Here is a 13,572-nt window from a genome sequence, read left to right as displayed (position 1 = left end):
AAAAACTAATGGTTTTATATAGATTAGAAAAAATAGTGTTCTAAATTAGCTTAGAGATAACAACTGGAGTATACAAATAAATGAAATTAGACGTTGTTAATTGTCAGACAAAAAATCAAATGAAATACTGGAATAATTGTTTATCATTACATTATTATTATGTAAATAACATTTTTACTGCACATAATTTTTTTTTTTGAGACGGAGTCTCGCTCTGTCACCCAGGCTGGAGTGCAGTGGCGCGATCTTGGCTCACTGCAAGATCTGCCTCCTGGATTCACACCATTCTCCTGCCTCGGCCTCCCAAGTAACTGGGACTACAGGTGCCCACCACCACGCCCAGCTAATTTTTTTGTATTTTTAGTAGAGATGGGTTTTCACCATGTTAGCCAGGATCGATCTCCTGACCTCGTGATCCATCTGCCTTGGCCTCCCAAAGTGCTGGGATTACAGGCGTGAGCCACCACGCCCGGCCTGCACATACATTTTATGTACATTTTAACCAGTCTCTCTTATTAGTGGTTTTCCTAACTGTAATGGAACAGTGAATAAAAGAAAACGTGAAAACATTTCATACGCTTTTACTTATGCTGTGACTCCCAGGATAAATCACAAGGGCTTGCATATCTCCTCCACAATCATTTTTTGACAATATGAAGGAAAAGAGGAAATAGAGGGGCTTTCTTGGCCTCATTTATGGTCATCTAACACAAAGTATGCAGTCTTCAACCAGAAGGCAGTTCTAAGGTAAGGAAGCAGAATAAGAAGCTTTGGGAATATTGAAAGATTTTATACAATTTGACCTTGATTGAAAAATAAAATAACCATTGTGAATAACTATCTTATTATAATTTATTTAAGCCTCTGATTTATTACAAATTAAAAGAACCCTGCAGTCTTTTCCACAAGATTACATGACTCTTAACAAAACTATGAATTTGCCATGAGGACAGCCACCAATGTTGTGTAAAACTCGGAATATACTTTAGTGTGACATTTATTCTGTTAAAGAACCTTGAGACTGAGAAAATTTGAGGAAAGATGTTGGACTTTCTGAAGTTGCTGAGTTATAACCAAGTAGGAAAAAAAATGAAAGAACTACATTTTACTAGAAAAATAAGTAATTAAGAACATAAAATTTATTTTAAAGGAATCTCATTTACATTGCTTTCTATACATATTTAATGAACTGAAATATGTTCTATTAATTAAACTTTATATATATATATTTAACATTTGATGCTGAAAGTAGTAAAGTATGAAACATTAATTTTACCCATGATATTGTCAGGCATGTGTTATAATTTAAGGTATAAATTTCATTTTCTCTTTCCTAAATTACAGGATGAAGTCTGTCCCAAAGCTGAGGGAGATGAAGTTCAGAGGTGTGTGTGGGCATCAGCTGTTAATGTCAAAGACAAGTTCATTTATGTTGCACAGCCAACTTTGGACAGAGTCCTTATTGTTGATGTGCAGTCCCAAAAAGTTGTTCAGGTATGAATAATTACTACTTTTTAAAAAGTAAATCTTTAAAAAATATTTATATCATTGTAGTAATCTTTACCAGGTAACTTGATTGTCACTGATAATGTGTTTCCTTACTTGGATAACTAGAAAATTTATGCATTTTCTGCAAACTCTTCTCTCATTCTGTTCCTTAAGCCTAATGAATTCAGGAGATAATTTAATTTTTTTGTTTTCAAAAATTAGATCCATGAACACTTTGTAATATTAACCTGCCTAGCTCCACACAAATCTCCCTCCCAGCTGCTTATTCTGTCTAGAGCAAGGAAGGCACAGTCGGAGCAGGCAGAGGCCAATTAAGACATTCCTGCTTATCATTACAGAACCGGAATTGAGGTCTCCTTATTTTATTCTTAACAAAGACCAAGACAATTGTAGGCTTCACTAGATGACAGTAACCTAGTAGAATTTGCTAGGTAGTAGTAAAATAAATAATATGTAAGTAGGTTAGAGATAGAGAAAGCAATCTCTAATAAACATTGTCATCGTCATGCTTTCACAGTTCTCTGAATTCATACTTCAAGTTTGAGCCACTGACTGCTGCAGCCCATGCTCTTTACCTGAAATCAGTTGCACAACAACCAAGGTGAAGTACAGGGTTGGTGTCCAGTCAGTCTGGCATTAGAGTCTACTCCCTTAATTTTTTTCATCTTTTGCTTCTCAGCTCAGAGGAAATTAAGTTAACTAGCTTTATGAGATATGTATAATCTGTCAAATGGGAATAATAAATATATGTATCTTACGAAGTTATTTTAAGAATTAGATGAATAATGCATGTAAAGCATTTATAGTAGACCCTGGCATGTGGAAGTGCTATATGCCCGTTTCCTATCAAAATTTCTGGGGAAACTGGACCCAAAACATTCTTTTCATTTACAGAGAATGTTTTCAGTCAATATTGGTTTGAAATTAACCCTCTAATTTTGATTTCTGTCTAGCACTACAAAAAGTGTTAAGATGTTCAAAGTAGGACTACACATTCTAAAAGTGATTAACAACTTCACATGGATCCATTCATTCATCCATCCATCCATCCATCCATCCATTCACTCACCCATGTAGCATTTCATCCATATATTCTGTACTTATTTAACAAATGCTTATTTTGTGTTTCTTATTTCACAAATACAAACATGAAAAACATTTCTTCTATGAAGAGCTGGCACTTCCAGGTTTATAAATTGACAGTGAATAACTGGCCTAATGTTTCAATTTCTAATATGAGAATGAGCAGTACAACCATGAGTAAAAGGAAGAAGTTATTCTAATAGAAAACCCTAAGGCCCTGAGGTTACACATTTTTTATGAATATACAATCTAATGGTCTGATATTTATTGTGAGAAAAAATTTTGCTGTATATTTCACTTCTTTTGTTTCCGATTTTTGAGACTGTTGGATTTTGACTAGATTGGCTTTTTATTTCAGCTGCAACATAGGCCAACACAAATGACAAGCATTCATTTTGGGATTATCAAAACTCCTTGCTGGTGGATTAAAATTGGAAATATATTTTAGAAATAACCAGGCTGGTTTTTAAATTGAGTTTTCAAACTAGAGAACTATACTCTCTGAATATAAATTATCTAAGTGATGTTCAAAAGTGGAAAGAGCTAACATCACTTATTATTCATATAATTCCACCTTCAAATAATGGTGAAACATTTAAAATTAATAGAAAATATTAATAATAAAATGTTCAAGTGATATGGTAATAATTACATAAACTGTATTATTTTTCAAAATGCCTATTATTATGAAATACTAAGGGAACTTAAAAGACTTCACAAATTGCTAAAGCAGATAATAATATGATACAATCATGATTGTGGAGATTTTTCAACTTAGTATCTAAACACATTTTTATAGGTTGATAAATTGGGGCACAGTCCAAATGCATTCTCCTTATGACCATGTTATTATAATAATAATTATTTGTATTACTCCTTCTAGATACTACCTATTTGAAGGAAATTATTGTGTAGATTTCTATTACCACATGTAACTACTGACTGATTTTGAGCATAAATGGATATGTATGATATTCACAATCTGAATCTGGCTATTTGTGCTTTACATGATGATTGCAAGATCATTTTGTTTGTAGCTGTTGCTAGGGTAATTCTTTCTTTTATTGCTGTGGAGAAACTGATTACAGTTGATTCTCATTGTGGATTCTGTATTTGTAGTTACCTACTTGCTTAAATTTATTTATAACCATGGCATTTTATGGTCATTTGTGGGCATACCTAGATGTGAAAACTTTTTTATTAGTAAATATACACATGCCTCTGTGTATTTGAACAAGAAGATATTCTGCCTTCTTGTTTCAACTTTCATACTATAAATGAATATTCTTTCCATGTTCAATTTAACACCTTTAAAAAAAAATCGGTGATTTTGACAATTTTGCTGTTTAAAATGTCCTCCACACATAGTGTTGAAGTGCTGTCTAGAGTTCCCAAGTACAAGAAGGTTGTGATGCACCTAACAGTAAGTTTTGTTAAGGCATGAGTTGTAATGCTGTTGGCCATGAGTTCCATCTTCATCAGTTAACAATGTATATTAAATAAGGTGTCTTTAGACATATACATACATAAAGCAAGGTGATGTATTGATTGGTTGATTAAAATATTATGAACAAAAGCTCAACAGATCATAACTTTTCACTTCCTTTATGAAATCAGTATTCAGTAATTTGGTGTTAGTGATGATTTATAGAGGAACTATCATCAATAAGTATAATTTACTATATTTGAGTATCAGAATTGTATTTATACATTCTACTGCTAACAGACATTTAAAGTGTATTTAAATTTGTACTATGGTGAATAATACTACTTGCTACAATTTTGTACACTTTATTTCTGTGTGCAAAATATGCAATTCTTTTGGTATATACATATATGAGTTGAAAAGTGAGACCGAATATTACATGTGAGTTTATGTGTGTGTATGCATATGAAGCTATCCAAGGTGCATCATTTTCCAAATTATTATATTATATTTAACTTCCAAAAATAGCATATGTGACTATCAGTAGTGAATTTCTATACATTCCTGCTAAGTTTTTAACTAATACTACATTTAATCTACTGATGAAATTAGAGAGAGGCAAAATGTATACACTATTGAGACTTTTTCTATATTTCTACATTGATGATCATTTTGTTTATTATTTTACTTTCAAGTTTTATACTAACCCTGTATTTCTTGAATAAGTTCCTAAAATTGAAAAAGCCAAAATATATCTTCTAAAAATTAAAAGTGAATTATTAAAATTAAAATTGATATGTATATGTTAAATAATAGTTTAAATAAAAGAGGAGGATGATTAAATAAGTTCAGAGATAGACCTGAATTATAAATAATGGAGTCAATCAAATAATGCAGTGTATTTAGGAAAAGAGAAGGAAAATATAAATGAAAAATTAAGATATAAAGTCAGGACTAACATATATGCAACAATATTTCCTAAAGTAGACAATAGAAAGAGAAGGGAGAAGTTAATATTTTGGTCAAAATGAATAATAATTGCATAAAGTGTAATAAACTATAATAATTAATAATTTATATAATATAAAACAATATAGAATCACTTATGTAAACCCTCAGATTTAAGATGACAATGAAACTCAAATGGAAAAAAATATATATACTTTAAAAAGGCAGTAATTTATCTGCCTTTTTAAGATCTTCCTTTTGCCTTTTGGTTGTGTCACTTCAAAGAGGAAGATCTTAAAAAGGCAGATAAATTACTATGAGATGGTAGCAAATTTCTCAGTAGAAATGATGAATATCAAAATAAAGTAAAATATTACAAAAAGACTAAGTGGAAATTTAAAAAATAATTATAAAACTAGGGCACGATTTGTTTATTGTGTCAGACACACAAAACATATACTTTATCACCAATGTAAATGGAAACAACATGGAAACAAATTGTTTACTTCAGGAATCAGGAAAATTAGCTGTAAATTTGATGTGATAGTGAGCAAGGGAATTGATAAACATATGGCCTATTAAAATATTAACTGTCAAAAACAGGAGAAGCTTGCATGCAGAATGCAGGAGCCAGGGTAAGCAAAAATGATGCTGTCCTTTACATTTGGGGTATCTGTTCTTTGATTGTTGATTGACACTTCTGATTTCAGAGCTACAGACAGAGGTGGGTGAACATTGTTGCCACACCTTGCTCATTGTTGCAAGCTCCTCTTCCTTTGGCAAAAGTGACTTCTAGGACATCTAAAGGCCTAGTGTCTGTTTATACTCCTCTTTCATTTTTCTCTAGTTCTTCATTTTAGAACCAAATATTAAATACTAGTTTATTCAAAAACAAGTGCATATAGGAGAAAAATTAGAAAGTGACCAGTTGGTGCCCAGAGAAAGGCTCAGAAAAATACCTTAGAAGACTTTAAGTTTGCTTTAGGCTGAACCTTGGAACAGAGATGGCCTACAATAATAAACAAAAGCAAAAATTGCAATTAAAAAAACAGCAGTGGCTGGGCATGTATATATGGCTCACGCCTGTAATCCTAACACTTTGGGAGGCCAAGGTGGGTGGGTCACCTGAGGTCAGGAGTTCGAGACCAACCTAACCAACATGGAGAAACCGTGTCTCTACTAAAAATACAAAATTAGCCAGGCGTGGTGGCGCATGCCTGTAATCCCGGCTACTTGGGAGGCTGAGGCAGGAGAATCGCTTGAACTCGGGAGGCAGAGCCTGCGGTGAGCTGATATTGCACCATTGCACTCCAGCCTGGGCAACAAGAGCAAAACTCTTTCTCAAAAAAACAAACAAACAAAAAAAAAAAAAAACCAGCAAACTTGAAGAAGGAGAAGAATCTGATCTCTAGAATTATCACAATTATTAGATTTGAATGCTTAGTCTTCAAAAAAAAAAAGTCACAAGGTGTACAAAGAAACAGGAAAGTATGGTCATTTAAAGAAAACAGAATCACCTGTAATCCCAGCATTTTGGGAGGCCCAGGCGGGCGGATCACGAGGTCAGGAGATCAAGACCATCCTCGCTAACACGGTGGAACCCCGTCTCTACTAAAAATACAAAATAAAAATTAGCTGGGCGTGGTGGTGGGCAACTGTAGTCTCATCTACTCGGGAGGCTGAGGTAGGAGAATGGTGTGAACCCAGGAAGCGGAGCTTGCAGTGAGCTGAGATTGCGCCACTGCACTCCAGCCTGGGCAACAGAGTGAGACTCCCTCTCAAAAAAAAGGAAAACAGAATCAACAGAATGTATTCCTGAACAAGACCTGAGGCAAATTTACTAGATAAAAACATTAAAATAACTATCTTAAAGATGCTCAAAGTACTAAAGATAAAAAGGAGTTGAGGAAATAATGTAAAAACAAAATGGAAATGTTAGTAAAGAATAAAAAATATTTAAAAATTTGAAGGATGAAAAGTACAATAATTGAAATGAAAAATGTACTGGAGGTATTCCAAAGCAGATTTCAGCAGACAGAAAAATCCACTAACTTGAAGATAGGACAATTGAATTATTGAGTCTGAGGACTGGAAAGAAAAACAACTGAAGAGGAGTGAACCAAGTCTAAGGGACCTGTGAGACTCAGTCAAGTGTACCAACATATGCACTGCGGCAGTCCCAGAAGGAGAAGAGAGAGAGAAATGGCCAACAGAATATTTGGAGAAATAATGGCTAAAAACTTTCCAAATTTGAAGAAAAATAAGAATATAAGCATCCATGAAGATCAACAAAGTCCAACTAAGATAAACAAAAGTGACCAACATCAAGACATGTTGGAATTATACTTTCAAAAGCCAAAGCCAAAGAAAGAATTATGAAAGCAGCAAGAGGGAAACAACTCTACACATACTGTGTATCCTCAATAAGATTGCTATCAGATTTATTACTAGAAACTATGGAGGCCAGAAGGCAGTGGATCCATACGTTCGGCATACTACAAGACAAAAAAAAAAAAAAAAGCCAATCAAGGATCCTATATCCCACAAAAATTGTCCTTCAAAAGCGAAGTAGAAATTAAGACATTCCCAGATACACAATAGCTGAGTTTGCTTGCCATAATTAGACTTGTCCTGTAAGAAATGTTCAACGTAGCCCAGCAAAGTAAATGAAACAAACATATGAATAAACCAAAACACTACACAGGCCGAGCACAGTGACTCATGCCTGTAATCCCAGCACTTTGGGAGGCTGAGGTGGGTGGATCATGAGGTCAGGAGATTGAGACCATCCTGGCCAACATGGTGGAACCCCATCTCTACCAAAAATACGAAAAATTAGCCAGGCGTGGTGGCGGGTGCCTGTAGTCCCAGCTACTTAGGTGGCTGAGGCAGGAGAATCACTTGAACCTGGGAGGCAGAGGTTGCAGTGAACCGAGATCCTGCCACTGCACTCCAGCCTGAGCGAGAGAGCGAGACTCCGCCCATCTCAAAAAAAAAAAAAACCACTACACAATAACTTGAAGTCATGTGAAGAAATACAGATCTTTATAAAAGCAAATACATGGACAATCACAAAATCTAATATGATTATAATAAAATTTGGTAACTACACTTTTTGTTTCTTACCTGATATGAGAGTAATGCATAAATATTATTAGTCTAAAAGTTATTATTATTGTAACTTTGATTTGCAAAAACCCTTTTTGTTTTCTACATAATTTAAGAAAATAATGCGTTTAAAATAATTATTTGTTTATTTTTTTGGCACGTGGTGTACAAAAATGTAATTTGTGACATAACCGAAAGAGATCAGAATGGAGCTATTAAAGGAGCAGAGTTTTCTATGTTATTGAAGTTTAGGTATTATAGAACTGCTATAACTTTAGGATATTAAGTGTAATCCCCATGCTAACCACAAAGAAAATAGCTGCAGAATATAGACAAAAGAAAATGAGAAATTTAAACATTTCATTACAAAAAAATAACTAAACATGAATGAAGACAATAATGCAGGAAATGAGAGGGGAAATCTGTAAGGCATATAGAAGACATGTAGCAAAATAACAAAAGGAAGTGCCTTCTTATCACTAAGTACTTTAAATATAAATGGCTTACATTATTTAATCAAAAGAGATTGACAGAATGGATTAAAAACAGGATCAAACTATATGCTATCTACAAGAGGCTCACTTTAGGTAAAATCACACTAAAAGTCTGAAAGATAAGGGATTGAAAAGGATAGTCCATGCACTGAGTAACCAAAACGGAGAGGTAACTATACTAATATATGTCTCCATAGACTTAAAAAGTCACAAGGGCCTGGTGTGGTGGCTCACACTTCTAAAACCAGCACTTTGAGAGGCCAGGACAGGGGCAGTGTGTGGCCCCAGGAGTTCAAGACCTACCTGGACAACATAGTGAGATGGTGTCTCTCTATATACACATTTTTTAATTTGCTGGGTGTGGTGACACGCACCTGTAGTCCCACATACTTGGGAAGCTGAGTGATGTGGGAGCATCACTTGAGCCTGGAAGTCAAAGCTGCAGTGACCTTTGGTTGTGCCACTGCACTCCAGCCTGGGAGACAGAGTGGGACTCTGTCCCAGAAAAAAAAAAAAAAAAATTACAAGAGACAAAGAGGGAGATAATTTATTAATAAAAAAATCAATACAGCAATACAGCAAGCAGATTTAAAAATTATAAACATTCATATAGTTAATACTAAATCATCAAAACATATGAAGCAAAAGCTGACAGAATTGAGAAATAGGGAGTTCTACAATGATAACTGAAAGCATCAATTCCTCACTGTCAATAATTGATAGAAATACCAGACAGAAGATAATAAAGGGAGTAGAGGACTTATCACAATAAACCAACAGATCTAACAGACAAATACAGAATACCCTATCCAATGACAATAGCATATATATCTTTCTCTTTCAAGAGCTCATGGAACATTTTCCAGGATAAATGATATGTTAGGCCAGAAATTAAGTCTCAATAGATTTTAAAAGTTAGACACAGCCAGGCACGGTGGCTCATAGCTATAATCCCAGCACTTTGGGAGGCCAAGGCAGGTGGATCACTAGATCAAGAGATCGAGACGATCCTGGCCAACCTGGTGAAACCCCGTCTCTACTAAAAATACAAAAATTAGCCAGCCATGGTGGTACACTCCTGTAATCCCAGCTACTCAGGAGGCTGAGGCAGGAGAATTGCTTGAACCCAGGAGGCAGAGGTTGCAGTGAGCCGAGATCATGCCGCTGCACTCCAGCCTGGCAAGAGTGAGACTCCGTCTCAAAAAAAAAAAAAAAGTTACATATAATAAAAATTGTCTTATCTCAGCATAATGGTGTGGAAGTAGAAATCCATAATAGAAGTAAAATTGGAATTTTTTTTAAATTGTGGAAATTAAAACAACCTTAAACAATCGATTAAAAAAATCATGAGGAAAATTAGAAAATACTTAGAGGCAAATGAAAATAAAAGCACAACAGACCAAAACTTATGGGACATGGCAAAACCAGTGCTGAAGGATGCCAGGGGAGTGGAATTTAGAATGATAAATACTTACATTTAAAAAAATCAAGAAATATCTCAAATCAACAACCTATCTTTACAACTTAAAAAAACGGAAAGAAAAAGAAAAAGAGCTAAAGTCAGAGCTAGCAGAAAGAAGGAACTGATAAAAATTAGACAAAAGATAAAATAGAGAATAGAGAAAACTATTGAAACCAAAAGTTAGTTCTTTAAAAAGATCAAGAAAATGGCCAGGTGCGGTGGCTCACGCCTGCAATTCCAGCACTTTGGGAGGCCAAGGCGGGCAGATCACGAGGTCAGGAGATCGAGATCATCCTGGCTAACACGGTGAAACTCTGTCTCTATTAAAAATACAAAAAAATTAGCCGGGCGTGGTGGCCAGCACCTGTAGTCCCAGCTACTCTGGAGGCTGAGGCAGGAGAATGGCGTGAACCCGGGAGGTGGAGCTTGTGGTGAGCCAAGATCGTGCCACTGCACTCCAGCCTGGGCAACAGAGCGAGACTCTGTCTCAAAAAAAAAAAAAAAGATCAAGAAAATTGACAAGCTATTAGCTAGATGGGATAAGAGAAAGAGATTTTAATTAATAAAATCTAAAATGAATGCGGGGCCATTACTATTATACCAATTCTATAGATAATGCAAAGGATTATAAGAGAGTACCATGAACAATTGTATGTTGTCAAATTGGATAACCTACATAAAATGGACAAATTTATGGAAACACAAAATGCAGCAAGACTAAATTAAAATAGAAAAAAATAAATTTACTTACAAATGCTAGGAAAATTGAATCAGTAATCAAAAATAGCTCAAAGAAAAGCAGTAAATCTGATGATGTCACTGCTGAATTTTACCAAACATTCAAAGAGAACTAACACCAATATTTCTCAAACCTTACTAAAAATATTAAAGGAAGTAAATTCTGCCTAACCCATTCTATGAAGCAAGCATTGCTGTGATACTAAAGCCAGACAAAAACACTACAAGAAAACACACCCACAGCTCAAGATGCCTTATGAACACTGATGTAAAAATACACAACTAAATATTAGCGAACCAAGTTCAGCAGCACATAACTACATCATACCCATGACCAAGTAGGATTTATTCCTGGAATGCAAGGATGATTCAACATATAAAAACAGATCATTGTAATAAACAGACTTAACAAAATGAAAGAGAAAAATTACATGACCATCTCAATTGATCGAAAAAAGCATGTGATAAAATTTAACACTCTTTCATAATAAAAATACTCAAAAAACTAGGAATGGGAAGAAACTATGGCAACATATAAAACCCATGTGGGAAAAAATTCAACAATGAGAGATTGAGCTTCTCCTCTAAGTTCAGGAAAAAGACAAGGATGCCCACTTTTGCCACTTCTACTTAACATTGTATTGGCTTCTAGCCAGAACAATTAGGCTAGAAAGATGAATAAAAGCCTTCCAAGTTAAAAAGGAATAAGCAAAATTATTTGCAGATGGCATGATCTTACATGTAGAAAACCCTAAAAATTACGCAAAACACTATTAGAACTAATGAATGAATTCAATAAAGTATCAGGATAGAAAGGAACATGCATAAATCTGTTGCATTTCTATACACTAATAATAAACAAATTGCAAATAGAATTATGGAAACAGTTCAACTTGTCATAGCATAATAAAGAGTAAAATACGTAGAGATTAACAAAGAAGGTGAAAGACATACAAGGGAAATTACAAAATATTGCTGAAAGAAATTAAAGGAGATATATAAATGGGAAAACAACCTATGTTCATGAATTGAAAGACTCAATATTGTTAAGATGTCAGTAGTACTCAAAGCAATCTAGAGATTCAGTGAAATTCTTATCAAAATCCCTAAGACTTTTTTTTTTTGCAGAAATAGAGAAGCTCATCTTAAAATTCATATGGAATCTTAAGGGACCCTAAATAGCAAATATATTCTTGCAAAAGAAGAACAAAGCTGGAGTACTCTCATTTTCTTGTGTCAAAACTTACTGCAAAGGCTACAATAATCAAAAACTGTGTAGTACTAGCATAAAGACAGGTATACAGAATAATAGAATGGAATAGAAAGTTCATAAATAAACATATATAGTCAATTTTTTTTTATAAGGGTGCCAAGACCATTCAGTGGGGCAATGGCAGTCTTTCTACAAGTGATGCTGGGAAAACTGGATGTCCACATGCAAAAGAATGAAGTTGGAACCTTACATAACACCATAAATAAAAACGAACACAAAATTAATAAAAGACCTAAATTTCAGGTGCAAAATTTAAACTGTTAGACGAAAGAGCAAAAAATTTATGCTATTGGATTTGGCAAGGATATCTAAGATGTGACAACAAAGGCACAAGCAATCAAAGAAAAATTACATAAATTGGACTTAATAATTTTTTTAAAAAATTATTCATTCAAAGATAATATTAACAGAGTGAAAAGTAAAAGGACAACCCACATAATAGAAGAAGATATATGCAAATCATATATCTGTTAAGGGATTACTATCCAATGTATATAGAGAACTCCTAAAACTCAACCACAAAAATCACCAAAACTGGATTCAAAAGTGGCAAATGTAATCCCAGCACTTTGGGAGGCTGAGGCGGGTGGATCACAAAGTCAGGAGATTGAGACCATCCTGGCTAACACGGTGAAACTCCGTCTCTACTAAAATCAAACAAACAAAAAGTAGCCGGGCGTGGTGGTGGGCGCCTGTAGTCCCAGCCACTCAGGAGGCTGAGGCAGGAGAATGGCGTGAACCCGGGAGGCGGAGCTTCCAGTGAGCCGAGATGGCACCACTGCACTCCAGCCTGGGCAACAGAGGGAGACTCCGCTTCAAAAAAAAAAAAAAATAGATAAATAAAGTGGGCAAAGAACTTCAATAGACATTTTTCAAAGACGTTATACATATAGCCAATATGCATATAAAAAGATGACCAATATAAGTAATCATTAGGGAAATGTAAGTCAAAACTCAATGAGATGTCACCTCATACCCATTAGGATGGCTACTATCAAACAAAAAATAAGTTTTGGCACGGGGTTGGAGAGATTGAAACCCTTGTGCGTTGTTGTTGGGAATATAAAATGGTGGAACTGCTTTGAGAGACTGGTGGTTATTTAAAAAATTAAAAGTAGAATTATCATGTGGAAGTAACTCAAGTGTCTGTTGACAGATGAATAGATAAAATATGCTTTATAAATGCAATGGAATATTATACAGCCTTACAAGGGAAAGAAATTCTGAAATATGCTACAACATGGGTGTAATCTGAGGACATTATGATAAGTGAAATAAGCCAGTCATAATAAGACAAAAACTGTCTGATTCCATTTATATGAGGTAATTAGAGTAGTGAAAATAATAGAGACTGAAAGTAGAATAGTAGTTTCCAGGGCTAGGAAGAGGCAGAATTGAGGAATTGTTGTTTAATGACTATAATGGTTCCATTTTACAAGGTAAAAAGAATTATGGAGATTCATAGGGATGATGATTACACAGAATTATGAACATATTTCAGCACACTTAAAAATGGTTAAGATGGTAAATT

The 13,572-nt window shown here is 34.5% G+C and overlaps 1 protein-coding gene across 4 annotated transcripts in view; it reads left to right on the top strand.

Moving 5' to 3' along the window:
* Positions 1-13,572, top strand: part of FSTL5 (follistatin like 5) — a 780,104-nt gene that overhangs the window by 681,487 nt on the left and 85,045 nt on the right. For all 4 annotated transcript variants that reach the window (NM_001128428.3, NM_001128427.3, XM_011532126.1 and 1 more), the window contains one exon: positions 1,345-1,494. In NM_001128428.3, the coding sequence (NP_001121900.1) occupies positions 1,345-1,494 (150 nt within the window). The remainder of the gene's footprint in view (positions 1-1,344; positions 1,495-13,572) is intronic.

The sequence above is a fragment of the Homo sapiens genome, chromosome 4 (genome assembly GCF_000001405.40).
Source record: "Homo sapiens chromosome 4, GRCh38.p14 Primary Assembly".
Taxonomy (NCBI): domain Eukaryota; kingdom Metazoa; phylum Chordata; class Mammalia; order Primates; family Hominidae; genus Homo; species Homo sapiens.
The sequence above is the reverse complement of the archived record's forward strand: the minus strand, read 5'-3'. Positions and strand labels throughout refer to the sequence as shown.